The sequence below is a fragment of the Homo sapiens genome, chromosome 5 (assembly GCF_000001405.40).
Source record: "Homo sapiens chromosome 5, GRCh38.p14 Primary Assembly".
Classification (NCBI taxonomy): domain Eukaryota; kingdom Metazoa; phylum Chordata; class Mammalia; order Primates; family Hominidae; genus Homo; species Homo sapiens.
In genome coordinates, this window is record NC_000005.10 from 150,134,193 (window position 1) to 150,160,603 (window position 26,411).

The 26,411-nt window shown below is 54.3% G+C and overlaps 1 protein-coding gene across 4 annotated transcripts in view, besides 9 other annotated features; it reads right to left on the bottom strand.

Annotated features, from left to right (window-relative positions):
* Positions 1–21,653, bottom strand: part of PDGFRB (platelet derived growth factor receptor beta) — a 42,007-nt gene extending 20,354 nt beyond the window's left edge. The window contains exons 1-4 of one of the 4 annotated variants that reach the window (NM_002609.4): positions 21,205–21,653; positions 2,816–2,861; positions 1,363–1,686; positions 558–824 (exon numbers count right to left, since the gene is read on the bottom strand). In NM_002609.4, coding sequence (NP_002600.1) covers positions 558–824; positions 1,363–1,686; positions 2,816–2,855 — 631 coding nt within the window. In that variant the 5' untranslated portion in view covers positions 2,856–2,861; positions 21,205–21,653. Of the gene's footprint in view, positions 1–523; positions 825–1,362; positions 1,687–2,815; positions 2,862–18,146; positions 19,766–21,204 lie in introns of those variants that run through there. The other 3 variants (NM_001355017.2, NM_001355016.2, NR_149150.2) reach the window with 3 other exon arrangements.
* Positions 1,354–1,865: an enhancer, noted in NCBI's record as "H3K4me1 hESC enhancer chr5:149515109-149515620 (GRCh37/hg19 assembly coordinates)". NCBI's record gives its function as "activates a minimal SCP1, AML or CMV promoter by ChIP-STARR-seq in naive H9 embryonic stem cells {active_cell/tissue: H9 hESC(naive)}" and the evidence as "EXISTENCE:reporter gene assay evidence [ECO:0000049][PMID:30033119]".
* Positions 1,866–2,375: an enhancer, noted in NCBI's record as "H3K27ac-H3K4me1 hESC enhancer chr5:149515621-149516130 (GRCh37/hg19 assembly coordinates)". NCBI's record gives its function as "activates a minimal SCP1, AML or CMV promoter by ChIP-STARR-seq in naive and primed H9 embryonic stem cells {active_cell/tissue: H9 hESC(naive and primed)}" and the evidence as "EXISTENCE:reporter gene assay evidence [ECO:0000049][PMID:30033119]".
* Positions 2,376–2,887: an enhancer, noted in NCBI's record as "H3K27ac-H3K4me1 hESC enhancer chr5:149516131-149516642 (GRCh37/hg19 assembly coordinates)". NCBI's record gives its function as "activates a minimal SCP1, AML or CMV promoter by ChIP-STARR-seq in primed H9 embryonic stem cells {active_cell/tissue: H9 hESC(primed)}" and the evidence as "EXISTENCE:reporter gene assay evidence [ECO:0000049][PMID:30033119]".
* Positions 3,398–3,909: an enhancer, noted in NCBI's record as "H3K27ac-H3K4me1 hESC enhancer chr5:149517153-149517664 (GRCh37/hg19 assembly coordinates)". NCBI's record gives its function as "activates a minimal SCP1, AML or CMV promoter by ChIP-STARR-seq in naive H9 embryonic stem cells {active_cell/tissue: H9 hESC(naive)}" and the evidence as "EXISTENCE:reporter gene assay evidence [ECO:0000049][PMID:30033119]".
* Positions 12,515–13,041: an enhancer, noted in NCBI's record as "H3K27ac-H3K4me1 hESC enhancer chr5:149526270-149526796 (GRCh37/hg19 assembly coordinates)". NCBI's record gives its function as "activates a minimal SCP1, AML or CMV promoter by ChIP-STARR-seq in primed H9 embryonic stem cells {active_cell/tissue: H9 hESC(primed)}" and the evidence as "EXISTENCE:reporter gene assay evidence [ECO:0000049][PMID:30033119]".
* Positions 18,373–18,893: an enhancer, noted in NCBI's record as "H3K4me1 hESC enhancer chr5:149532128-149532648 (GRCh37/hg19 assembly coordinates)". NCBI's record gives its function as "activates a minimal SCP1, AML or CMV promoter by ChIP-STARR-seq in primed H9 embryonic stem cells {active_cell/tissue: H9 hESC(primed)}" and the evidence as "EXISTENCE:reporter gene assay evidence [ECO:0000049][PMID:30033119]".
* Positions 18,894–19,413: an enhancer, noted in NCBI's record as "H3K4me1 hESC enhancer chr5:149532649-149533168 (GRCh37/hg19 assembly coordinates)". NCBI's record gives its function as "activates a minimal SCP1, AML or CMV promoter by ChIP-STARR-seq in primed H9 embryonic stem cells {active_cell/tissue: H9 hESC(primed)}" and the evidence as "EXISTENCE:reporter gene assay evidence [ECO:0000049][PMID:30033119]".
* Positions 23,571–24,359: an enhancer, noted in NCBI's record as "H3K4me1 hESC enhancer chr5:149537326-149538114 (GRCh37/hg19 assembly coordinates)". NCBI's record gives its function as "activates a minimal SCP1, AML or CMV promoter by ChIP-STARR-seq in naive H9 embryonic stem cells {active_cell/tissue: H9 hESC(naive)}" and the evidence as "EXISTENCE:reporter gene assay evidence [ECO:0000049][PMID:30033119]".
* Positions 25,878–25,947: an enhancer, noted in NCBI's record as "active region_23399". NCBI's record gives its function as "activates an Ori minimal core promoter by ATAC-STARR-seq in GM12878 lymphoblastoid cells {active_cell/tissue: GM12878}" and the evidence as "EXISTENCE:reporter gene assay evidence [ECO:0000049][PMID:35858748]".

The window sequence follows — 26,411 nt, forward strand, 5'->3', positions numbered from 1 at the left end:
AGTGAACAAAGTGGACAAAATCTCTGTTCTTATGGAGCTGACGTTCTAGAAGGGATAACAGTCTGGAAATCAAAGTACCCTCTGGAGATCTATGTACAGGAGAAATGTATTGAGCACATAACATGTGCCAGGTACTCTCCATCTTTTATTTAATCTTCACAATTGATCCTATGAGGTAGGCAGCCATTGTTATCCCCACGTTACAAGAGGGGAAGCAGGCTCAGAGAGATTATGTGCTTTGTGTAAAGTCACTCAGACAGGAAATAGCAAAGCTGGGATTTCGACCCAGCTGGCTCTGAAGCTTGTGCCCTCACCGACCATGTTGCACAGGCCAGCTCTGCCACTATCGAATTCTGCGACAGGGGACAAGCTCCATCCTCTCTCTGCGCCTGAGTTTCCCTCTTCTGTAACATGGGGAAAACACTATCTTCCTTCGAAGGCTGTGGTGAGAATCCACTGGGAAGTGGAGTCCCACACTTTGTAAACTGTAAAGGGCTATTCCTCTGTGGAGGGTTATACTTGCCTCTGCTGAGCATCAGGCCAGAAAGGGGGCTCACCCTGGAGTCTGTAGACATAGTAGGCATCAGAATCCACCTCCCTGTCCCCAATGGTGGTTTTGCAGATGTAGCTTCTGTCCTCAAAGATACCAGAAAAGCCACGTTGGTGATCATAGGGGACAGGCAGTGCAACGTCCCCTTTCTTCTCGTGCAGTGTCACCACCAGCTGTGGGTCTGTTACTCGGCATGGAATGGTGATCTCAGTTATTTCCGTGAGAAAGATGAATAGTTCCTCGGCATCATTAGGGAGGAAGCCCACGGTGGGATCTGCCAGGAGTGGAGCCGTGAATAAATCAGGGGAACTGGGTTTCTGGCCATCCCCTGAATTGCTGTGTGGCAAGTCATTTGCCATCTCTGGCCCTCTGTCTCCCCGTTACAGAATAGGGATGCTCCCAGAAGAGCATAAATCAAATGTTAGAGCTGGTCCCTTCCAGCTCTAATGTTTGATATTGACAGTGCCAGGGTAAGAAAGAAGGCAAGTCACAAGTTGAAATGCAGCTGATATCTGGAGCTTGGAGAATGGGGAAGAAGGGATGTGGGGTCAAGAGGGAGCAGATTGGAAGCAGCTGAGAATATAGAGTTCTTGGGAGGCAGGAATAGGGTGACTGGCAGGGAGCAGGCAGATCACCCAGACCAAGGAGTGGGTGCGAACACACTCCCCGACTGAGCCAGGCTGGTTCCATGATTGTCTGCTTTTCTAGGATGGCTGCATTTCACAATAAACTAAAGCACTCTCTGGACTTCCCCTGATGCCTCCAGTTGACAAGAGGGGTAAGGAGTGGGCACACAGGCTGGGAGCCCTTACCTGGCACAAAGATGTAGAGCCGTTTCCGCTCATCGGTCTCCAGTCCACGGGAGTCATTGTGGGTGCAAAAGTATTCTCCCGTGTCTAGCCCAGTGAGGTTGGTCAGTGTGAGCACGCTGGAGAAGGTGCCATCCTGGGCCTTGGCCATTTCCTGTGGGGGCTCCTGGGACATCCGTTCCCACACCACCGGAGCTGAACCCGAGCAGGTCAGAACGAAGGTGCTGGAGACATTGAGGACAAGCTCTGGCCCCGGGGGTGTGACGACCAGGCCCTGAGAGATCTGTGGTTCCAGAAGTAACAGGAGAGACAGCAACAGCAGCTCGCCTTTGGGAGAGGAGGTATCAGACATCAGGAAACAGGGGCTTCAGCACCTCTCCCAAGGCTGAGCCTGCGAGGAGGCCACGTATGCACAGCCCTCAGGTCCTTGAGGAGCACAGCTCCTTTATCCGACAGACTGGGGCTCTCCAGCCATGGCTCTGAGGACCGCTCGCCCAGCTCCAAGGCCCCAGGGATTCCTCTGGACTGCCTCTGTCAGTCCCGTTAGACCCCAGCCTCTGAGTCCTTCAGCAGTGCCATGTGTAGGCAGTAGGCACCAGAAGGGGCCAGGAAATCCTCGGGAAGCAATTCCCTGGCCTCCAGTTCCTGCATTGCTTCCCAGGTCACTTTCTGAGCCTCTTCCCTACAGCTCTCTGCCCCCTCCCCCGACTGCCCAGGTTCTGCCCAAGGCCCAGAGGTGGCTCTGGGTGGGAGAGAGATGGGAGGGAGGGGCTTAGGTAGCTCAGAGGGGGGCCAGAAAAGATGCTGAGGCCCTTTTGGGCTGGAGGGAACTGGGGTTGGGGGTGTGTGTGTGTCAAGTGATTGGTCCCCCTCCACGACATCCCCTGGAGAAGGATTTTTCAGGCCACGCCCTCCATGCCCCCTGGTGATACAGATCAGGAGGGGAGGTGGGCGGTCAGGCAGCCAGTCCATCTTATGGCCAGCTGCCGGGCAGGCTGCTGGCTGGTCATTAATTGCTGGGTCAGTCGCTCAGCCCCTGCAGAGCTGAAGACATGTTAACGGGCAGGAGTGAGGGGTGGGGTGTGCTGAGAAGCCCAGCAGGGACCTGGAAGCTCCCAGCCAATGAGGGGTCCAAGCCGAGTGCCACAGATCCACCAGACCGAGGATAGGAGGCCAGGGGTGTGGGCCAGAAGGTGGGATGGGGTCTGGAGGGCCAATCAAAGGATTTGAGCTGATGGTTCTGGACAAGCAGGGGCCCACTGACGCTTTCTGAGCTGAAGGGCTGGCAGCTGGAGGCCTCCACAGAGCCCACTGGAAATCCTGAAAACTAAAGCTGAAGGGCAGGGCAGTGTGCCTGGTGCTTCACGCCCTGCCACCAGCACACATCACCCCTGCCAGCTCCAGGGTTCCACTCCGCAGCCCCCCGGGTCCCCTACCTTATCTCCCATCTACCCACCTTTGAGGGCCAGAGCTGGCATCGCACCCGGAAGCCGCATGGTGTCCTGCAGAGTTAAACAGGAGTCAGGGCCCAGGGCAGGTGGAGGCAGCGACAGGGGCTATCTCACCACCTGGCTCCTGCAGAATGAGCCCCAGCTTGGGCCACCCAGCCTTCATGTCCGAGGGGCTGAAGTCAAAAGCCACCACGTCCCAAGCCTGAAAGGGCACTCATGACCACAGGCTGTCTCCTCTCCATCCCGGACTTAGCCTTGGGGTCCTGGCCTTTGCTTTGGCTCTGCTTGTGACTCTCACGTGGCCTCGGCTGCGTCCCCAGACTCTCTCTGTGCCTTAGTTTCCCTGTCTGTACAGTGAGGGAGGGGAAGTTGGGCTGGATGGTATCCAGTAGCCTACCAGCTCTGACAGCCTGTCCTCCGGGTGACAGTTCCAATACCAGGCTCTTATCTGCCAGGACAAATATTTGGGAAAGTGTGATGAAAGGGATGGGAGGAGGAGGGGGGAGGCCAGAACCCAGAGAACTCCCGCAGCTCCACAAGCACAACAGGAAATGGAGGAGGCTGTGGGCTGTGGGAAGGGAAGCCGGGGAGCCGGGGCTGTGGAATGTGGGAGGTGGGCCTGGACACCTTTACTCAGCCCAGAGCATACAGGGAGGCCCAGGGGACAGCGGCTAGGGGCTGGGCCCAGGAGAGGTCCCATCGAGCAGCCAGGCCTCACAGGTCCTTGGAGACCAGTGAAGCCAGGCTCCCCCCACCCCCACCCCCAGGGTGCAGATGGGGAAACTGAGGCTCTGAGAAGGTGAGAAGTTTACCCAAGATTCCACAGCAGAGCCTGTCTGAGAGGGAGACAGAGAGAAAGAGACCTGGAATGATAGAAGTAGAAAGAGACAAAGACACAGAGACAGAGAGGAGGTGCCCAGAGAGACAGCACCAGAGGCACTAAGAGACAGAAGCAAGGACAAAGACAGAGACAGAAGCAAGGACAAAGACAGAGACAGAAGCAAGGACAAAGACAGAGACAGAAGCAAGGACAAAGACAGAGACAGACTGAATGGGGTGGCCCTTGCTCTCCTCTATCTTGGAAGACACACCTCAGGTCCCAAGAGACCACCAGGAGCCAAGTATGCCAAGAGTCTGCCTGCAGCATTGGCAGGAAGGACGCCAGAGGACAGGGGTCGCAGAGCATGAGCTTTGGGAGGTGACGGCATGATGAGGCAACAAGGAGCCTCCTCTGGCTGTGGGGCTGCCCAGCCTGGCCTGCCTCTGAAGGCCATGCCCAGCTTGCCCCTACCTCCCCATCTCACCCCTTTTAGTTTTCAGTTTAGGTCTGCAGACCGGGTTCAGGCCCCAGCATGCCACCTCTTGTGCCATCGCTCTCCCTGTGGCCTAAGTCCCCAGCTCTGGAAGTGGATGATGGTGAGTACCTCACCTACCAGGGCTGCATTCACATGTCAGGGGTGGGACATAGGCAAGGCTCCTCCCGCCTATGGACCCCCAATCTTAGCTCTTCCCAACACCCCAAGAAACAGTCTGAGCAAATCAGCTCTTCTCCTCCCTCCTCCCTTTCAGACTGCCTGCCTGAAGGTCTCCTCGTTTCTTCCTCTCCCCTCTCTGAACTGCTCCTGACTCAAAGCCCAGCCCTTCTGACGCCCCCTCCAGCCTCTGCTCCCCACCATTCCTCTGCCCCAGCCCCTCCAGCTGGATGCCAGGCCTCCTTGGTCAGGAGGGAGCAGCGCCAAGGCGGAGCCAGCAGCCCCCACAGAGGCCCATCTGCCCCTCCGTCGGTGCCCCTCTGGCTGCCCCCTTCCTGCTAGAGATCTCAGCCAAAGAAAATCATTAGCAGAGGCTGGGGGAGGGGGTCACTTCAGCTTCCCTGCCCCTCCTCTCCCAGTCTCCCTGGCTGGCCACACTGTTTATTATTCTAAAGGAGGAATTTGGCCGGCTGGCCAGGAGAAGGGAGGTCACTGCAGCGGGGCTGGCCTGGCTCTGGAAGGCTGGGCTGGCTATGTGGGCTGGGCCTTCATGGCATGCAGCCCCCGACCCTCCTCCCATGTGGCACTCCATCCTCTCCCCTTCAGGCTCTCTTCTGCTGGGCCTGGGGCTGGGGGTGGCTTAGAGACTCTGAGCTAGGAGGTATGCTTTTTGAATGGGCAGCAGAGGCCCAGAGAAGGACAGAAGCATGCCCCAGTCACACAGCAAAAAGGCAGATTCAAGCTGTGGGGAGAGGACAGGCAGGCAGTGTGGATGCCGTAGGGAGGTTGTAGGCACCCCAGGGATCTCGGACTGGCTTTACTATGAATAGAGCAATCAGCTCCCCTCATAAGCACCCTGGGACCCACTGTGAGACTGAGCGAGTCTCCAGCCTCTCTGAACTCTGCGTCCCCATCCATATAGAGAGGTTGGCAGGTGTCATCTCAAAGAGCTGTCCCTATGGTGAAGCTCTGCCTTTCTGACAGGCCAAAGAGAAGATTCTAGTCACCACGAATCTTACCGGGGTGTTTTGAGGAGGTGGGGGCTAGTAAGCAGGAGGGGGCTACATTCCTGAGGCTAGAGTCACATAAGAATCCACCAGCCATCTCATTCCACGAAAGGAATTTCCATGACTATTCAGCCACAGACTTGCTGTGCGGGCTTTGACAAGTTGTTTCCCTCTCTGGGCCTCAGTTTCCCCATCTATACAATTAAGAGTTAGACCAAGGCTGGGCATGGTGGCTCATGCCTGTAATCCCAGCACTTTGGGAGGCCGAGCCAGGCGGATCACGAGGTTGAGAGATCGAGACCAACCTAGCCAACATGGTGAAACCCCGTCTCTACTAAAAATACAAAAATTAGCTGGACATGGTGGCAAGTGCCTGTAGTCCCAGCTACTCAGGAGGCCGAGGCAGGAGAATCGCTTGAACCCAGGAGGCGGAGGTTGCAGTGAGCTGAGATCACGCCACTACACTCCAGCCTGGTGACAGAGTGAGACTCTGTCTCAAAAAAAAAAAAAAAAGTTAGACAACAGTGTTTCAACAGTGTTTCAGGGGACTTTCCGCTGGTGACGTGGAACCCCAGGAGGTGGCAAGGAAAGAGTGGTAGGGACAAGAGGCTGGAGGGCCAGGGAGGGCAGAGAAGGGCTTAGGGCACCCAGACATGACTTCCCAGGCCATCCTGGATGACTCCCTGATACCCCACATTTTCCACCAAATGTGTTAGGCCTCTTTGTGCTTCCCAGAGGCTGTTCTGGTTCCAGCCAATCCCAGGGAGGCCCAGGCAGCTGACTTGGTGGTAGTGGGCTTGCCTGTGACAACTTCCCCTCTTTAGGAGGACTGTACTCTAGGGAAGGGCCACCTAGGACAAGCTGGATGTCACAGTCAGAGAGCAGGCACTCCCCCTATCTGCTGTACTCTCCTGCCCAGGGAGGCCTCTAGAGCAGAGAGAGGGAGGGCACCCCTAGGTGTCCCCCTTTTGCCCATGAAGAGAGTGCTATGTGCCAGGAACCCCTCCTGATTCCTCCTATTCTGGCCAGGTTGTAGGCTCAGAGGCCCAAAGTGGAGATCATGCCCAGCTCCTCACGTGACTCAGAGGGACCCCTTAGGGGAGCAGAGTGAGGACCCCAAGTCCGGGGCACAGAGTGGAACCCCAAGTTCAGGGGAGAGGAGTGGGGGGCCCCAAGTCTAGGGGAGCGGAGTAAGGACCCCAAGTCCAGGGGAGCAGACTGGGAACTCCAAGTCAAAAGGAAGCAGAGTGGGGACCCCAAGTCAAAGGAGCAGAGTAAGGACCCCAAGTCCAGGGGAGAGGAGTGGGTGCCCCAAGTCCAGGAGAGCAAGCATGCTTGGGGAGTCATTCTCAGAGCCCCAGACTTCCCTCCTCCCAGCACGTACAATTCTCCACTCCTTTCCCACCGCCTTAATCTAAATAAATCCAGCCCATCTTGGCCACATCCGCCAGCAACAGCTTCCCTCCCTCAGGGTCCTGAGGCTCCCACGACACAGGCAGGCCAGGGAGGGGGCCCTGCATTGCTGCGGGGGTTGATGGGGGGAGCCTGCACATGGTCAGCACATACACACAGCACAGATGCACAGATGCCTGCCTACGCACTTCCTCGCACACTCCTCTGAAACACATACGTATGCAAGAGGCCATGTGGGTGCCAAGCCCTCATGCAGGTACTAAACATGTACACACCCACACAAAACACATGTGCGCAGCTCCCACTGTGCCCAGCACCCGTGGAGATGCACCCGTGTGCAACAGTTCACATGTGTATGCAGCACATACAACATGCACAGAACATGTGCACATAGAACCCCAAATTCACCTGAACACACAGCCATATGCATGAACAGACAAGCCAGAAAGCCCGTGTTACTGCACCAGGAACCATTCTGAGCATTTGGCACGTATTGGCTCACTTGATTCTCCATCAACTCTATGAGGTAGATACAGTGATCATTTCCATTTTACAGTGGGGAAACTGAGGCAGAGAGCATTTAATAACTGGGCTAGGAACACAGAGCCAGAAGGGGTAGAGCAGAGATTAAAGTGAAGTGGTGTGACTCTGTGTTCTATGCCACCAGCTCCACCGCTTCTCTGACCAACGTGCATGTTTGGTTGGGTCTGGGGAGAAGGCAGTGGGGACTGAAAAAAACAGATGGATTTGAGAGTTACTTAGCTGAGAATCAACAGGACTGGGTGACTTAATATTGAGGGGCTGGAGAGGGAGGTATGCACCTCTGTATCTGGCTTGGAATACTGGGAGGCAGAAGTGTATGTGTGTGTGTGTGTACACGCGCACGTGCTGAGGGGACGATGCCATTTTCTGAGATGAGAATGAGGTCAAAGAGCAGGAGTGAGAGCTGCAACTGAGCAGGTTTAGGATAGGGAGGGTCTGTGGGCACTGAGGGGACAGTGGGATGTTCAGTCTGGAGGCCAGGAACAGGCCGGGTAGAAACAGCAGTGAGATGAGAGAGAGAGGGCCATGCTGCAGGGAGAGGGGGGTGCTGGGGGCAGGCAGTCTCAGGCCTGGGATGCTCTGAATAAACCAAATGCCTGAGGGAGGAGGAGGCCTGGCCATGGGGTTATGGGGTCAGAGTCTTGGAATGTCAGCACGCCAGAGCCCTCAGGGATCATCTATCTGATCTAACTGCCTTCCTGTGCTCCATTGTGCTCGTGGGGAAACTGAGGCTTAGGGAAGGAAAGCAAGAGGGCCCATTGTTTTGGCCTAGACAAGATGGGCTCGGGTGATCGGTGGGGCTGAAGCTCACCTGGCTGCGCAGCTCCCCGCCTCCAGCCCCTGCTAAGATGTGAGGCTGGTGGCTCAAGGCCCCAGGCTTCAGGCTATAGCTGCCCCTGCCCTCTCCACAGCACACCTCTGTCCTGCCACACATTGACCTTTGTTTCAAAGTCACATTCTCTGCACGAGCCCAGCCAGGCAGGGATTGGCGACTGAGACTCAGAGGAGGTAATTTGCTAAGTTGTTGGGAGAAGTGAGCCACAGACTCCAGTCTCCTGACCCAGTCCAGTCTTCTGTTCTCCGTACCGGGGCACTTTACAGGCCTGGGACAGACTTTGGAGGGGGGTTGGGGTGGGAAGTAAGAAGACCTGGCTCTAGTCCCGGCTGTGACACCCACTTATAGGATAGTGGTCCCCCCTATCTGCAGGGAATACATTCCAAGGCCCCAGTAGATGCCTGAAACTTTGGATAAAACCAAACCCCATACATACTATGTTCTTTTCCCTGCAAATACATACCTATTATAAAGTTTTATTTATAAATAAGGCACAGTAAGAGATGAACAACAATAATAATAAAATAGAACAATGATAAAAATATACTGTAATAAAAGTCATGTGACTGTGTTCTCTCTCTTAAAATATCTTACTGTATCGTTCACTCTTCTTGTGAAGACGTGGAATGACACGGTGCCTACGTGATAAGAGGAAGTGAGGTGATGGCGTAAGAATTGTGAAGTAGCGTTAGGCTACTACTGACCTCCAGACATTATCAGAAGGATCAGGTCATCTGCTCCAAGTGATCCTGGACCACCGAGCCATGATGGTGTTGATGGCTGGATGTCAGTAGTGGACTTTGTTGATGACTAACAGGTGGGTAGCGTATATGGACAAAGGGATGATTCACTCCTGGGCGGGACAGACAGGACAGTGCAAGATTTCATCACACTACTCAGAACAGCACAAAATTTAAAGCTTGTAAGTTGTTTATTTCTGGAATTTTCCATTTAATGTTTTTGGACCACAGTTGATCTGGGGTAACTGAAACTTCAGAAAGTGAAACTGCAGCTAAGGGTGACTACTGTACAGTCCTGACCCTCTCTGAGCCTCAGTTTCCTTATCTGTGCAAAAGGGTGGGCAAGAGTGTCTTGGGAGCACTTTCAGGGCTGACATGCTGTGGCCCTCAGGGCTCCACTCTGGGAAGGCAGCTGTGCTGAGCTGGAATGCTGGGCTCGGGGTGGGGGTGCTGGGGAGGGACCCATGTCATGACTCAGCTCAGAGAAGGCTGCCAGTTCCAGGCCTGGGAGTCTGTGGGGGCAAGAGGCATCTGGAGCCAGGGATGAAGTCCTCCCGCCAGCAGCTAAAGAGTAGGAAAGGGATAGCAGCACAGCCTGGGCCTGGCGGCAAGTCTGGTCCATGTGGCTGTCCCCAAGCAGGCTGAGATGTGGGTGTGATTGGGTCATGTGATCAGGGAGCCCCATCCTGGGAGCCAGAGAAGAGAGCAGGATCGGAGGGTGAGGAGACAGTTACAGGTGGAGGGGAGAAACTGGGGAAGTGGCCGAGGCTCCCACCCGCCCCCTTCAATCCTATGCTCGCTCCACTTCCAGTTGTTGGAGAAGGCTCAGTGCTCCACCCCTGCACCACGAACCTCCCCACCAGCCTCGGGATCACTCTAAGGGCTACAGAAAGAGAGCAGCCCGGCGCAGCCCACTCGGTGTTGGAGCCATTCTCTGTGCCACGCTGCTTCTAGGCCCGGGGTCCTCTTTATGTTTCTCCAGGTACCTACAAAGTCCCCTGAACAAAGCAGCAGAAATCGACTAAGATGGGGCCTGGCGTGTGCTCCCGCTGCTCTGGAAGTCCAAACTGGATGGAAGAATAGCGCTGGTTCCCTGGAAGGCTGCTAAGCCCCCTGCACCCCCTCCTCCAGCACAGGCTCGGCTGCCTCTGGCTATCCCACCGCCAATCTCCTCACCTCCAATCTGTCCCCTCCACCTGTTCTCACACCCCAGCCAGAGGGACCTTTCTGAAATACCTATGTGACCTCTCCGGCCCTCCTCTGCTCTCCATCCCCCTCAGGCAAAGGCTGGCTTCTCTGCCCAGCCTTTCAGAATCTTCCGGCCCGGCCCTGACAGCTCCCTCACAACTGAGGGAGGAAGGCGGCTGCCCCTCCAGCTCCCCAGGGCCCAAGCCAGGCCCTCACACTCGTCACTCACTGCATGCTCCTCTCCCCATGAGGCCTCCCCAGGGAACACAATGGAAAGAAATGACCTATTTTCTGGAAGTCCAAAATAAGATGAAACATCTGTCTGGAATGGGGCCAGGCTGATAAAGAACGGGCTGATCTCCCCAGCCCGAGCCCCGCTCTCCTGCAGCAAACACCCCCTCACCCGTCAGAGTGCCTGTGCTTGGGGGTGGGGGCAGCGATGCGGCTGGCTACTTGGAACAGTGCGTGGGAAAGCGCTCAGTGTGTGCCTCACGGCTGCTGGGGGCCCAAGGGAGGGGGCCTGGGTCCCCAGGAAGGCTGGGAAGCAGCCTGAGAAGGAGGTCAGTGAGGGAGGGAGGCCTGCTGCACACCCCTGCCCACCGGCTGCAGAGCAAGCACTTCCTGCCTCCTGCGGTGCCTTGAGGGTTACCCCCAGGGCCCTGTGGATTCCTGGCCCTGAGTCCCCCCACCCACCCCGGCCCCATCTGGGCCTCCAACAGCCTTAAAAATAACAATAATAATAATAGCTACCTCTGATTTAGTACAGTTGACCCTTGAACTACACAGGTTTGAACTGTGCAGGTCCACTAACACGTGAATGTTCCACACATGTGAAACATCCACCTCCTTCCCACCCTTCCACTCCTCCACCTCTTCCGCCTCTGCCACCCCTGAAAGCAAGGCCAACCCTTCCTCTTCCTCCTCCTTCCCAGTCTACTTAACGTGCAGACAAGGGTGAAGACTTTTTCAGTGATCTACTTCCACTTAATATAAACTGAATGTATTTTCTCTTCCTTGTGATTTTCTTTCATCTAGCTTACTTTATTGTAAGAACATAGTATATAATATACATAACAGACAAAATATGTGTTAATTGACTTTACATTATCAGTAAGGCCCACAGTAGGCTGGCTATTAGCAGTTAAGTTTTTGGGGAGTCAAAAGCTATACATGAATTTTCAACTTTGCAGTTGGTGGCTGTCCCCAGCCCCCTCATTGTTCAAGGGTCTGCTGTACTTATCACCCACTATCTATGCTAAGCTCCTTATATGAATGATCTCACCAAGTCCTCAGAACAATCCCATGACATCAGTACTGCTTCCTCATTTTACAGATGTGGAAACTGAGGCACAGACTGTTTACATTGTTTGCCCAAAAGCTTGCCAGTGGTGTCTCCAGTGTTTAATACTGGGCAGACAGGCTCCAGAGCACACAGCCCAATGCCCATGAGACAGCCCCTCTGTGGCAGGAGGCAAAGATAAGGAGCCCCGCAAAAAGGACAGCCCAGTACCTGGCACAGAACAAGCTCAAATAAAAAAAAATAAAAGTTAATTAGCCAGGCGTGGTGGAGGGAGCCTGTAATCCCAGCTTCTCGGGAGGCTGAGTCAGGAGAATTGCTTGAACCCGAGATCGCGCCACTGCACTCCAGCCTGGGCAACAAGAGTGAAACTCCGTCTCAAAAAAATAAATTAAAAAATAAAGTCGTCAGCCTTATCTTTTCGCCTTCTTTGTCCCAACTTCTCCTTTCACTCTTTCACGCTGTCTTTTGAGCTGGGTAAAGCTGAAGCTGACAGTTTGAGTGGGAAACAGTCACTCCATTTTTCACAGAGCCCTACAGTCTTAGTACATTCCCTCTATTCACATCTCCCCCACCTTCTCTGCAATTGCACACCTCCCATGACAGGGCTCTCACCACCTCACCTGTGGCCCATTTCATTCTTAGCCAGCTTAGAATCTTCAGAGGGCAGACTATTGAGAATTGTTAATTACACTGAGTACAGTTTATCTCACTGTATTCTCTGCTTATTGGTCTTGCTTCTATCCACCAACCACCCTCTCCCCAAATACAGGACATCTTTCTAGTTATTGTTCTGATCCCCCCCAATCTGGAAACAAACAAAAGTCCCTACTAATTTAGAGCCAGGCACTCTGCTAAATGAGATGATCTGGAGATTTTGTTTCATCCTCACGACCACCCTGTGAGGGGGGTACACTCATTATTCCCATTTTACAGAGGAGAATGATGAGTCTCAGAGACTTTTGGTAACTTTCCCAAGGTCACACAATAAGTAAGATGCAAAGGAACGGGAATGCAAACTCAGGCCGGCCTGACTCCAAAGCCTATATTCTTTCTTTTTTTTAGAGACAGGGTCTCGCTCTGTTGCCCACGCTGGAGTACAGTGGTGTGGTGGCATGATCATAGCTCACAGCTCACTATAGCCTCAAACTCCTGGGCTCAAGTGATCCTCCCGCCTCAGCCTCCTGAGTAGCTGGGACTACAGGTGCGCATCACCACAACTGCCAAAACCTGAATTCTTGCCCGTCATGCCAGACTGTCTGTCTCCTGACCAGAAACAGTTCTGTCCATCTGTCCACAGAGAAACGTTCTCCCTCTAATGGCGTCCATACGGAATCCAGGATCTCAGGGATGAGAAGATCCTCAGGGATCTGGGTCCCGCCTCTGCTCTGACTGAGGGGCAGTGTATGCGGGAGGCCTGCCCCGGGTCACCAATAATTTTAAAGTCGAGCTAGGGATAGAACCCAGGACTAGGGATAGAACTCCACAATTTCGCTGCAGAGGCTGAGGGTGAGCACACAAGGCTGAGGAGAGAGTTTTTGCTTAGGAAAGCCAGGGTCTGGCAGGGGCAGTGCTCCTGCGGGATACAGCATCCAGGCAATCAGCCCAGGTGTGTGGCCGGCTCTGCCACAGGCCTGCTGTGCACAGGGTCCAGGCCTGCCCCTGTGGGGGCCCCAGCACCCCCTTCCACTGTTTGCAGAGGGCCAGGGCCTCTGTAGCTGCAGAGTTCCAGGCCTCCACCATCCTGCTGCTGCCCTCCCCATCCCCACCCCCCAGAGCCTCATCTCCGGCCGGTGCCATGGCAACAGGGAGTGCCAGGCCCTTGGCAGCCAAAGGAGCCCCTGAGAGGGGTCCCAGGCTGAGACTGAGGAGGGGGGTGCGGCAGGCGCAGACAAGCAAACCTTCTGTTCCCCGGGCTGCTGCCAGCCCGGAGCAGCCATGGGCTGGGGTGGGGGCCGCAAATAGAATGGGTTCTCAGAGCCAAGTGGGCAGGGGACAGGCAGGCCTTGGGCCATTCACACTGACCCACCAGCACACAGCCTTCCCCCACAGGCCCAGGGCCTGCAAATAGGGGAGGGGTAGCTAGCTAATGAGTAAACCCTTCACTTATCAGTGCCAATTACCAAACATTGAGATTCCCCTCAGAGCCCTCCTGGGCGGCAGAGCAGGAGGGCAGAGAACCCCCATGTTTCACTGACCCTCTCACTGTCTCAGCATCTGTCCTCCCACCCCTGTCTTCGGTCATTCACTTAACCACCCCTCTGTGCCTCAGTTTTCTCATCTGTAGATTGGGGCTCATCACTGGGTTGTCAGGGCTATTGAAGGAGTTAACACAAGCAAAATGCTTAGAATAGGGCCTGGCACACAGCCCTCTGCAAAGTTGGTGGCCACATTATTATTATTCATTCACTCAAGGGAGAAGAAGTCACTCACTCACTCGGCCTTGCGCGCACAGCCAAGACTCCACGGGACTAGGCTTCTCAGCAAAGTGATGCATGTGATAAATGAGACGGTGCAAGAAGGCCTCTCCCAAAAGACGCTCCTCAGGAAGAGGTAGCTGCTGATTATTGGTACAATCAGTAGCAACAGCCCTTTTCAGTGTCCTGAGGCTCAGTGAGGAGTGTCTCATCCTAGCACACTCGGCGATTCGGTGGCCAACCTAAGGCCAGACCCATCTAATCACCACTGTCTGTCAATTACTTCTTTCCTGAACTTTTGTCTTAGTCCTTTAATATGACTTCCCACAAATCAGGATACCTACCTAACAACGATCTGGACTCTCTTCAACTTCCTAATATGGAATTAGGCCTACAGTAGGTGCTCAGTAAACGCTTACACGATATGAGAGATTAAATGGCTCTGTAGGGTCAGCTCTTCAGTCCTGGGCCCTCGGCTGCCTCCTAATAACACAGGATTCACTAGGCTAGGGAACTGGCATGGATAGGCAATGGTGACTCTTTCCTTCCAGGGAGGTGATGGAGATGAGCTGGTGAGGGCAGAACAGACATATGGCACTCTGAAGCCAACAGGCTGCGCCTGATGCCATCCAGGGCAGGGATGGGAGCCCCGCCAGGCTGGGAGCAGTGGTTCCAGCTGGAAGCCACTTATTCCTGGGTCCAAGCCCCAGTTCTCTGAGTTTAACTTATCTGAGTCCCAATTTCCTGGGAAATGGCATGGGAGACCTCCTTTTCCATTTCTGGGAGGGCCAGAGATGATGACGCACAGCACTTGGCACATCATAGGTGCCCAGTAAATGGTGACTAACAACAGTATATGATTACTCCAGTGGGGAGAGCGGGTATGGCTTCCTGAGGGAGGTGGCCTTGAGCTAGGCCTCCAGGGTTTCTTGAGTTTTTTGGCAGATGATGCCAGGGAAAGGTATGGCCAGGGCTCTGTGAGAGATGAAAGGCATCTGGGAGAAATGGCAGGGAGAGATCTGTTGGGCTAGAAACTGGGGCTCTTCAGCAAACAGGTAGGTGATGGCCTGGGAAGGAGGCAGCAGGAGGCCAGGGAAGGAGGCAGGGAGACTTCAGGAAAGGTCTGCGGTGCTGTGTGAGGATTTTCTCTGGACCACCAACTTTTCAAGGTGTTGATAGTGATGGCGGGTAGTAGCTGCTGGCTTGGCAGGGCAATGCTGTAACTCCAGGCACTGTGGGGAGGGGGCCTCCATGCAGGAGGATGACACCAGCAGGCTGGCATTTAGTGGGAGGCTGTGGATTAGGATGGGGACAGTGGAGGCTGCAAGGCCAGTGTTGGGGATGAAGCCGTCCCAAACTCAGCCTGAACTCCCTGGCAGGACAAGCTACATAATTTGTGGGGCAAGCACAAAATGGAAATGCAGGGCTCTTTGTTAAAAATTATTAACAATTTCAAAATGATGACTGCAGAGCATTAAACCAAACATAGGCCCTTCTAAGCATGGGGCCCTCAGGAGGATGAGTACTCATGAAGCCATCTCTGTGCCCTGGACTAAAGGGGAGGCCATCTGTCTGTCTCCATCGATTTATCCATCCATCCATCCATCCATCCACCCACCCACCAATCCATTTATGCATCTCTACATGCATTTATTTATCTAGTGATTATTTCACTATCCATTCAGCAGATAGGCCCTGGGTTGGACACTGATAAGGACACAAATACAGGTGAGATGGGAGCCACCCACAGTCCACCAGGTCAAACCTGCACCTTTACCTTCAATGCTCTGGGCCAGGAGGGGCCAGGGCTTCTGTGACATGTTTAGAAAGCTGAGCCCTACCCCTCTAAGGCTAACTGGAAACCCTGCCCCACCCTATAACCACTGAGGCTCAGCCTCAGAAGTGAAGAAGCTGGTGGTGTCACTGCCCTTGGGTTTCCACTTCTCAGAAGGGAAGGTAACAGAGCAGCAGCAATGAGGATGTGGCAAAACAGTCACAAGAAGCATGGTAGGAACTCTCAGGGGCTAAGGGCAGAGCTGGATGGACCTCTGGGGGCCACTAAACTTCTCCCTTGGCTTCTCCCCACTTTATTATAAGAGGAAACTATGATTAGAATGAAGAAGTGGTATGGCCAAAAGCTCGGGGGTCCAGCAAACCACCCAGGAAGATTCCCATTTCTTGTTGGGACGGCTTTGCTCCTTTTCAGCCCATAGCCCAGACAGACCTGGAGGCTGAGCCCTGAACCACAGAGGTGGAGCTGGGTCTCTCCAGGCCTTCAGAGAGATGGTAAAGACCCAGCACCTGTGGTGGAACAAAGGCGAGCCCAGGTCCCAGGCTCAGCGTCATCACCAATGATCTGTACGGACCTTAGGTGCAACCCTTCCCCTCTCTGGACCTTAGTTCCCATCCATACAATAAAGCAGTTGGATCAGGTGACCCCCAAAAGTCCTTTTCATCTCTGACATTCAGGAACTTTCAGACCCCCTGACCCTCCCAAGGGACAGCCCTCTCCATCACAGGGCGGAGAAGCTGGTACCTCTGGCAGATAAAAGGTTTCAGGCACCTGAGACATCAAATAGCCCTGATCTGAATTGAGGAGAGGAGGGGATTTTAATGCGGTTAAAGCAGTACACTTTGATTTTCAGCCTCCTGCACCAGGCTGGGGGTGGGCTACCCCAGGAAGCATCTGGTGGATGTAGGGGGCGGGGGCAGGGTGGGCTCTGGGGCTAAGGCTTGGAGGTTCAGGAAGACTTTATCCTGAGGATCTGGGCCTGAGGGCTCAGGAGGGATGTGAAGTGGGCTTCCACACTGGAAGCAACAAGCATGGGAATTTCACACCCACTCCCACCAGAGGTAGGTCCCTGTGTCCATTCCCCCCCTCACCTCTGGATCCCATCACTCATCTGGGCCAAAGCCTTGCTTCCTCTTGAAATTAGAGCATATGAGGTTTGAAAACGCAGCACTGGAAGAGACCTAAAGGGTTACAGCATCCACACACAGCCCCTAGTGGGCCTTCCTCCCCGACCCTCCCTGCTCAGTATCTCAGGAAAATGGGCATGTGGGAACTGTAGGAGCCCTCTGAGCTCCTCAAGAAACTGAGCACGTTAAGGGGCCACACTAATTGTCAGAAAGTTCCTCATTGTTATTGCAGGTTAAAGTTTTCCATTAGTGGTCATCGATCCTGACCTCTTTCTGTAATGTGTAGAAAAAGGGTAAGAAAAAAACCCTTTCATTGTGAAATTAAATATGCATGATCCCTGAGTACACAGCAAGGCTTGTGCAGCTGCCAATCTGGGCTGGCATGGCTTGGAATCCTGAAATTGTTTTAGGGCTGGAAGAAAGATTTACCATCATCTGGGTCAACCTCCTCGTTTGACTGATGGGAAAACTGAGGCCCCAGAAGGGAACGATCTGTGCACAGTCCCATAGGGTTCTAGGGTCTGATGACTACCTCTGGAATGCTGAGGGCCCCCACAGCTGAGGCACATTCTCAGGGTTTACACTGGATCCCCAGGGGCATCCCAGGCCCCATCCAGCCTCTCATCAAGGGGATCTGGAGTCAGAAACACCCAGGTGCAAATCCCAGCTCCGCCACTTCCGAGCTGTGGGACTTTAGGCAACTGACTCTGCGCACTTTCTCACCTGTAAAATGGGGAGAGTTTAGCTGGGTGCGGTGGCTCACGCCTGTAATCCCAGCACTTTGGGAGTCTGAGGCAGGCGGATCACTTGAGGTCAGGTAGTTCGAGACCAGCCTGGCCAACACGGTGAAACCCCATCTGTACTAAAAATATAAAAATTAGCTGGGCATGGTGGCGCACACGCCTGTAATCCCAGCTACTTGGGAGGCTGAGGCAGGAGAATCACTTGAGCTTGGGAAGCGGAGGTTGCGGTGAGCCAAGATCATACCATTGCACTCCAGCCTGGGCAACAGAGTGAGACTCCATCTCAAAAAAAAAAAAAAAAAAAAGTGGGGAGAGTTTATATATCTAATTTTGAGGTTGCTGTGACGGTTTATTTATTTATTTATTTATTTTTTTTGAGACAGTCTTGCCCTGTCGCTTAGGCTCACTGCAATCTCCGCCTCCTGGATTCAAGCAATTCTAGTGCCTCAGCCTCCTGAGTAGCTGGGATACAGGTGCGCACCACCACGTCTGGCTAATTTTTGTATTTTTAGTAGAGACAGGGTTTCACCATGTTGGCCAGGCTGGTCTCAAACTCCAGACCTCGGGTGATCCACCCGCCTCGGCCTCCCAAAGTGCTGGGATTACATGTGTGAGCCACCGTGCCCAGCCTCGATGGTTAAATTAATCCAGTAAATATTTACTAAGAATGTCCTGAATGCCCAGCATGTTCCAAGTGCTGAGGAATACAGCAGCAACTTTGAGGTAACAGATGTAAAGCACAATTGAAGTAGACACAGAAAGTGCTAAGAACGAGTTGGTTCCTGTTATATCATCATGCTCACACTGCTTCCCAGCTGAGGTGCTACAAGCCCTGACCCTGGGAAGGGGCCCAACACCCCTTCCCTTCCCTCCTAACGCTCTGGGTCAGAAGACAGGGGGCACCAAAAAGATTCCCATTCCAAGAACCCACTGCCCACTGGGTTCTGAATCAAATGCAAGAAATGGGTGGGCATTTCAGAAGACCTTTTCATCCCTTTCTCCCTTCCCACTGCATTCAGCAGCAGCCTGTTCTGAGCCAATGCCCAGAGCACCCTCCTTTAGCCTAGAAGGCAGCTGGTCTCAGAGTCAGACTGTGGCCTGTGCCTGGAGGATGGACACGGATCTTTGGAACATACATGGTGTCCAGGTCCCTTCTGTGGGCAGAGCCTTTTGCAGGTTGCAGATTAATTTCACAGCCAAGTGTTCCAATGCAGGAGGCCAGGAGAGCAGTGGTTCTCTCAGCCAGTGGCCAGAGGTCCAGCTGTGAAGTGCAGGAACTGTGGTAAGCACCTTGCCAATGCTGTTGTCTCATGGAGCCCACACACGGTCCTGCTGCTCACAGAGAAGGAGATTGAGGCCCAGAGAGGCAAGGTGCTGCCCCGGGGTCACACAGTCAGCCAGAAACTGACTCGGGGTCAATGCATAGTCATCTGATGCCCAAGCCTGGTGCTGGTTACCCACAGCGCTCACTGCCTCCCAGCTGCGGAAGGAGCCCAGAGATGGGATGTGGGGGGTCTGAGGTTGGCCACACGGTGGATTTAAATCAAGCCAGGGCAAGCACTGGGTCTCCTGACTCTGGATCCACGGTGCTTTCCACTGCCTGCCCCACATGTGTGGGCAATTATAAGTCCCAGCTCTTCTTCCCGCAGAGGAGGGGGGCTGCTGATAACTGCTGTCTGGGAGGAGGGTGCTGACCAGATGGTCTCTTTCCTCTCTCAAGACCAAGCCAGGGCCCGGGCAGACCTTGGAGCAGTCAGACCTGAGGCTGCACTTTCTGCTGGGGAAGGTGCTGAAGCCAGGAGCAGGCTCTGCAGGAGGATGGAGATTCTTCCCTCTGACTGGGAGCTTCCCGGGGAGCACGAGGTAAGCCTTTAGAGTCAGGCAGACTTCAGCCTAAACACCACCTTAACTCACCGTATGGCCCTGGGAAAGTCACTTAGCCTCTCCAGATCTCAGCTTCCTCATCTACAAAAAGTAGGTAATAACACTGATTTCAAAAACTTGCCATGAGGACTCCAAGGTGTGTGAAGTACCAGGCTCTATGCCTGCATGAGGTAGGTGTTCAGGGACTGTATGTCCCTGAAGGCTGTGGATTCAGGGTCTCCTGCTTGGAGACAGGGGAGGACTGCATGACTTCAGAACTTGTCACTAGAGGCCTCTGTGCAATTGGGAGGTCACAGAGGGAAGCAGAGATACTCCTCCCTGCTTGCAATGGAGGAATGCTGCCTGGAGTAGCCACACGATGTCCTGGAAGGGCACCTGTGAGAAGGCTGGAGGCCTGGGTTCTAGTCTCACACTTGGGAGCAGAAGGTCTTCAGTGAGCTCCTCCTCCCTTTCACCAGGACATTTTTTCAGCCGCACTGCCTATCCAGGGCTGGGCACTGGGGGAAGAGCACAGGATGGGGAAACCTTAAACCTTTCCCCAGCAGAAAGTGCGGCCTCAGTTCTGACTGCTGGGGCCTGAACAATCTCTGATGAACAAACAGAACATAAACAGATCACCAACAGGGGAGGGCCAAGTAACATGGCTTCAGCACAAAGTGCATGGCTAGCACTTGGAAGACAGGAAGAACCTAGGAAGGCTGCCTGGAAGAGGTGGTGTATGGAATATCCCTGAAAGAAAAGTGATGAGGAAGGGCATTCCAGAAAGGGGGAAGAGGGAGGGCAAATGCCCACAAGCAGGATGGTGCGCATTCCTTCTGGGAATTCTGGGATCTGACTGGCGGGAACAAAAGGCCCAAGTTTGGAGTAATGGGGCACGGGGAGATTCCAACCTCTCCAGGCTGTGCCACTTACTAGCTGTGTGGCTACAGTTATGTGGCTGCGTGAGCCTCAAGTTCCTCATGTATAAAACGGAGGTAAAAACAGTCACTGCCTCTGGGGTTGCTGGTGAGCATTACATGAGATCAGTCTCATAAAGCACTCAGCACAGTTGCGGCGTGCAGTAAGTGTCAAGCAGTGGCAGCCTCTGTTAGGAGCTGGGACTTTCTCCAGGCACTGGGGAGCCATAGGCGGATCCTGGGCAGGGAGGTGGTGTGATTGGATTTATGCTTTAGAATGGCATGGAGAAGGGGTAGAGTCCAGAAGGAGGGAGACAACGAGGAGGCCTGAGCAGCTGCCTGGGACCAAAGGAAATGGCCCAGTGGCTGACCCCTTCTTCACAGAGGAGCCCCCAGATCTGACAGCCAGGTCCCAGCCCCCAGACCCAGCAGCATGACCGCTAGGGGGTTGCCATGGCCGCCCATCACCCTCGAACTTTCCTAGCCCTCAAACTTTTCTAGCTGCTGGGGGTTTAGAAGGATATCTTAAGAATCTAGAAAATTTGCAAATCCATTTAAATCCCCAGAGGTTGCCTGGCGGCTGACTGGCCTAAAGCCAGACTGATTCTTAGAAACAAGGCTTGGGCCAAGGAACAGCGGCTATGGTCCTGAGGTCCCCAGTCCCCTGCTTTCTGTGTACCCTGCCTACCTTCTCCCAATTCCCCTCTCCCGCTCTTCCCAGCTCTCCCCACTCCCCATTGACTGTGCTGTGCTTTGGAGGCCCCCAGTCAGCACCCAGAAACCCCTGAGGATTGTTTGATGAAGGCAGGAGCAGCAGGGATGATGAGGTGGAGGCCACTCACCCCAGAGCAGGGGAAAGGAGAAAACTGGCTCCTCCATCCCTGACATCACCCACAGTCTCCCAGCCTCCTCTCATCTTGTTTTGTTAAAAATATCTTCCCTTTTTTTTTTTTTTTTTTTTTTTACCTACTCGAAGAGATGCAGGTTAGGGCAAAGGGACAGGGCATGGGGCTGGGGTTCCCACTTTTTCCAGCACTTACCTTGCTGCTGATGGCTTCTGGTGTGGGCACAGTTCCAGGCTCTGGACAGTCACCCCCTCCAGGAAGTCCTCCTTACTGCCCTCTCCCAGTTATCAGAAAGACTGCTGGTCCCAGAGTGGGTAACAGCTGAGTAGAAGGACAGGCAGGACTGGTGCAGGCTCCTGAAGGCTCAGGAGAACAGAGGGATGGAGGAAGGGGGCTGCTGTAGGGGAGAGGAGCGGCCCAGCTTCGCCTCACTCCCCAAGCATCCTTCGGGAGGAGCAGAGCCGCCAGAGGGGCCGCCCTGGGTCTGGCTGTCTGCGTTGGGCAGGGCGAGCACAGGCTGCTGCTGGGCAGCAGGGCTGAGGGGCCGGCTCTCTCCTCCTCCTTGTTGATCTCCTCTCTGGCTCCAAGTTGCTCACAGAGCGATCCTGGGTCCCAGATAGGGCGGGCAGTCACTGCTGGCTGCTGGCAGCCTCAGGAGCTCACACCACTATGGGCTTCCATGCCCCCCCACTTCCCCCGCCACTTTGGGGGAAAGGCTGCAGGGTGGCTTCTGATTGGCCCAGCTGGGAGAAGGGGGGGCGGCGGGGCAGGGAGGGTGGACGCGTGCGTCTGTTTTCAATTTCAGTTTTTTTCCCCCTCTCTCTTTCTTTTCCCCCAAGTTTCTTGTTTTTCTTCTTTTCACTCTGCTTACTCCCTCCCATCGCCCGTTCGCTCAGGATGTGAGGGGATGCTTAGAAATTCCACAGCCCACGCCAGCCGCCAGCTGCTGAGTCACTTTTGTCAAAGAGTGGCCTCGGCCCCACTTTCCCGATGCCCATGTCGGGTGGCGGCCTCCCCTTGCCATGGCACCCAGGGAGATCATTTCTCAGTGCCTCAGTTTCCCCATCTGTAAAGGAGACTCTGATCATCTCTGTGGTTGATTCAGTCAACCTTCATTCATTGAACAAGCATACTGAGCATTTACTACATTCTAACACTGTACTGGGTGCAGGGGACAGTAGCAAGACGTGGTCCTGACCTCAGAAGCACCAGGCTAGTGAGCAAGATATTCATTGGGCAAGCAGGTGCCCGGTCGGCAGACAGGAGGCTGAGAGTGCATTTAGAAGGACCCCTAACGGAAGCCTGAGAGAATCAGAGAGCACTGCTGAGAAGAGGTGACATGGAGGAGATGGAAAGATCCTCCAAGATGATCAGCCGTTTTTCAGAAGGACAAACCAAGGCCCAGGGGTGAATTGGCACAGAGAGGGAATGTGATTTGGTCAAGGTCATCCAGCACAGATTGGATATCTCTGGATATTGACAGATACATTCCTTTTCACGTCTCAAAGCCCCTGGGGTGCAAGGAGAGGATTATTTGCCCCATTTTATAGATGGGGACACTGAGGCCCAGAGGAGCAAAATAAGCTTCCCAAGCTTACGCAGCAATGGCAGAGCTGGGGCAGAACTAGGTCTCATGAGACACATGATGGAAGAGACACAAGTCATCTGACCCCCACCCGAGACCCCTATTCCAGTGTAGATGAACCCCCTGCCCTGCTTTCTTCCTAGGTTCCCCCTGTGGCTCTTTCATTCAGTCACTCAACAAGATACTTTCTTTTTTTTTTTTTTTTTTTTTTTGAGATGGAGTCTTGCTCTGTCTCCCAGGCTGGAGTGCAATGGCGCAGTCTAGGCTCACTGCAACCTCCGCCTCCCAGGTTCAAGTGACTCTCCTGCCTCAGACTCCCAAGTAGCTGGGATTACAGGCGCACACCACCACACCTGGCTATTTTTGTATTTTTTGTAGAGACCGGGTTTCACTATGTTGGCCAGGCTGGTCTCAAACCCCTGACTTCATGATCCACCCACCTCAGCCTCCCAAAGTGCTGGGATTACAGGCTTGAGCCACCGCACCCAGCCTCAACAAGATACTTTCAAGTATCCGTTTTGTTCCATTTCCATTCTCTGGCTCTCCTTTCCTACCAGGGTCTGCCAAGACTCCTCCAGTTCCCCCAGCTGGGTCTCTTCTTCCACCCTCAGCTTCTCAGATCAGAAGACATCTCCAGTTACAGACTCCTAGCCCTCAGATGGCAAAGGGCATTATTTTAGAAGGGCATATAGAGTGGGCTTACCACCCCTGCTCCCACTACTGCACCCACAGGGCAACTGAATTCCAGAGGGTGAAGAAAGCTGTCCCAGGTGACACAGGTAGAGGCTGGCTCTGCCCTCCTTCCCTCTGCGCCGCTAAGTCTTTCCTCCTCAGCTTCCCCCAGACCCCTGTTCACAGAGCAGAGGATTTGCGTGAGCTGGGATTCCATGCCCACCACAGTCAACTATCTTGCATTTCTTGGTCTAGTCCCAATCGGGATTGCCCAGCAGAGCATCTGGGCTGGACCACATAGAAGGAGAAGTGTTCTCAGACTGGTTCCCAGCCACGGGTTGGGGACCATAAGAGTACCCCGAGAGAGGGGGCCTGGCCAGGTCTTTGTGGCAACAGGGAAATAGGGGAATGTGAAAAGATCCCACAGGCCACAAGGTCAGGCTTGCACAGGGATTTCTTGTGCCCAAAGATTCCGTCAGAAATTTACGACTCCCCTCCTAGCATCTGCCTGGGCCATTCACCTCTGAATCCTTGGCTGACCCTCTGCAGCCAGGCCAGCCTGGGGGAGGCCACGAGACACACCAACCCCCTAGTCCCCAAAGAAGCTAGTCTGGGAGTCAGAAGACCCAGCCACAGACTTATCAGGAGAACTTGAATAAGTCCCTTGCCCTGCCTGAGCCTCGGTTTCCCTATTTGTACATAACAGTTGTGGACTCACTGTGCTACAAGGCCCTTGGGATGGTCCGTCTGCAATTTCCCTTAGAGCTGGACTCTAGCAAGGGAGAGGAGGCTGGTGGGCCCTAGGGCAGGGGTACAGCTGGGGCCAGAGATGCAGCACAAAGGGGAGGGGCAGTTGGCGGTGGCTCCCCTGGGAAGCTGGCGGCCTCCAGTTTCCGGCCAGCCCAGCCGTCCTGAGGCCCATCTGGAATTACTTAGCCCCTACTGCCATTAACCCTTGGTGGGCACCAGGACTGTCACTCCTCCTCTCAACTGAGATATGGGTGGGAGGTGCAGAGCTACAGGGAGCAACCCAGGGCACTCACCAAGGGGCAAAATTGTCATGATTGACAGAGGAGGTTGGAGAGCTAGAGATAGAGCTGGGTTCGAATCCCAGCTGCTCCAGTTTCAAGCTACATGAGCTTAGGCAAGTCACTTAAACTCCTGGCCTTGGTTTCCTCCTCTGGAAAATGGAGACAAGTCAAAGACTGATTCATAAGACTCTTCGGTTTGTACAAAGGACTTAGTACATTGCCTCGAAGTGTACTAAGTGTACACTATTACTGAAATAGTGAGTTTCCTCATTCGAGCAGCATTCCATCACTGTGTCTTCCTGGGCGGAGCCTCCCTTTTCTGGGTCTTGGATTCCCCTTGTGCACTCTGCCTTCAGCGGCAATGGACGGGGCACATGGGCAGTGCAGCACCATCACCCTGGGGTGGTCAGCATGGCCCCCAGCCCCACTGTGGACAGGACAAGCTATGAACATCCTCACACCTACACAGATACTGGGAACCCAGTCCAGCCTTGGACAATGCTGTCTTGGGGAAGCCTGGGCTGAGAGTAGGTGGGCAGAGCATGGAATGTGGGGAGCCCTGCCTGAAGTGGACTGGGATGGGGTACAGTGGGAGAGGGGGGCTCTGGGCCTTAGGGTTCCACACTGCCTTCCCCCACAGCACGGTGGCACACTCAAGAGTTAAATGTCTGGACTCTGATGTTGGCAGCTCCAACCCAGCTCCACCACTTCCCAGCCATGTGACGCTGGGAGATGATATGACCTGAGCTCTCTGAGCCTCAGTACCTTCAACTGTGAAATGGGGACACATGTGCCTACCTCACAGGGTTGTGGAGAGACCTGAATAAGCCATGCCCACAGGCATTTTGTCAAGCCTCGAGCAAAACAAGAAAGTGCCACAAAAGGTGACTGATCCAGCTGGGCGCGGTGGCTCACGTCTATAATCCCAGCACTTTGGGAGGCCAAGGTGGGTGGATCACCTGAGGTCAGGAGTTTGAGACCAGCCTGGCCAACATGGAGAAACCCAGTCTCCACTAAAAATACAAAATTAGCTGGGTGTGGTGGTGCATGCCTGTAATCCCAGCTACTCGGGAGGCTGAGGCCAGAGAATTGCTTGAACCCGGGAGGCAGACGTTGTGGTGAGCTGAGATGGCGCCATTGCACTCCAGTCTGGGCAACAAGAGTGAAACTCCATCTCAAAAAAAAAAAAAAAGGTGACTGATCCTCAGGTGTTACCAAGAGCTGCTGTCATAGAAGTCCACCATCAGGGCTGGAGGGAAGCTCACCAACATGCTCATTACACAGCCGGTATGACTGAGGCCAGTGATGGAAAGGAACTTGTGCAAGGCCTTGTGATGTGTCAGCCACAGACTGGGACTGGAACCGAGGCTTTCTGTCTAGACTCATAAGCCCATGCTCTTCCCCAGAGGAGGGAACCAGGCTGAACAGACCCCCGTGCTAAGACCCCCCTCCCCCACCCACGCTTGTCAGAGCCGGAAGTTGCTGCTCTCAGTGGGGCAGGGGGAGGGAACCGGAAAGGGAGCCTGAGTGGGAGAATTCCCAGGAGGCCGCTCAGCCCTCACTCAGGCAGGGCAGCGGCCACCACATCTGGCTCTCCCACGCTCCTGGCTCTGCCCCCACTCCCAGGCTCCCCAGGCAGAGTTGTGGGGTGGGGGTGGGGGGTGATGAGGAAGCAGCACACATACCCCAGGCGCTCACACAGTCATCTTAGACGTCAGGACCCTAAGATATGTCCCTTCTGCTGGCATGGACACTGAGGCCCAGAGAGTGGAGGGGACTTGTCTGAGGTTCACGGTGGGGCTGAGGGAAGCTAGAATACAGGACTCCTGATCCCCAGCTCAGTGTCCTTCCACCCATGCATGCCCTGAGCAGAGCACGTAGATCCTTGTGCCTGTGGCTGGGGAGCCAGAGAGGCACAGAGTGGGAACTGTCCCCCTACCTCCTGGACACTCAGTGTAGTGGCTTTCTGAGTGGGCAAAAGACCAGCAGGGGCCTTGGGCCACATTCCCTCCCTAGATTCTTAGGACTGTCTTACTGAGCCAGACTGTAGCCACCGAGGTCTGCCAGGGTCCCAGGAGATAAAGGCTTCAAGACACTGCCCATTCAGCCTCTCC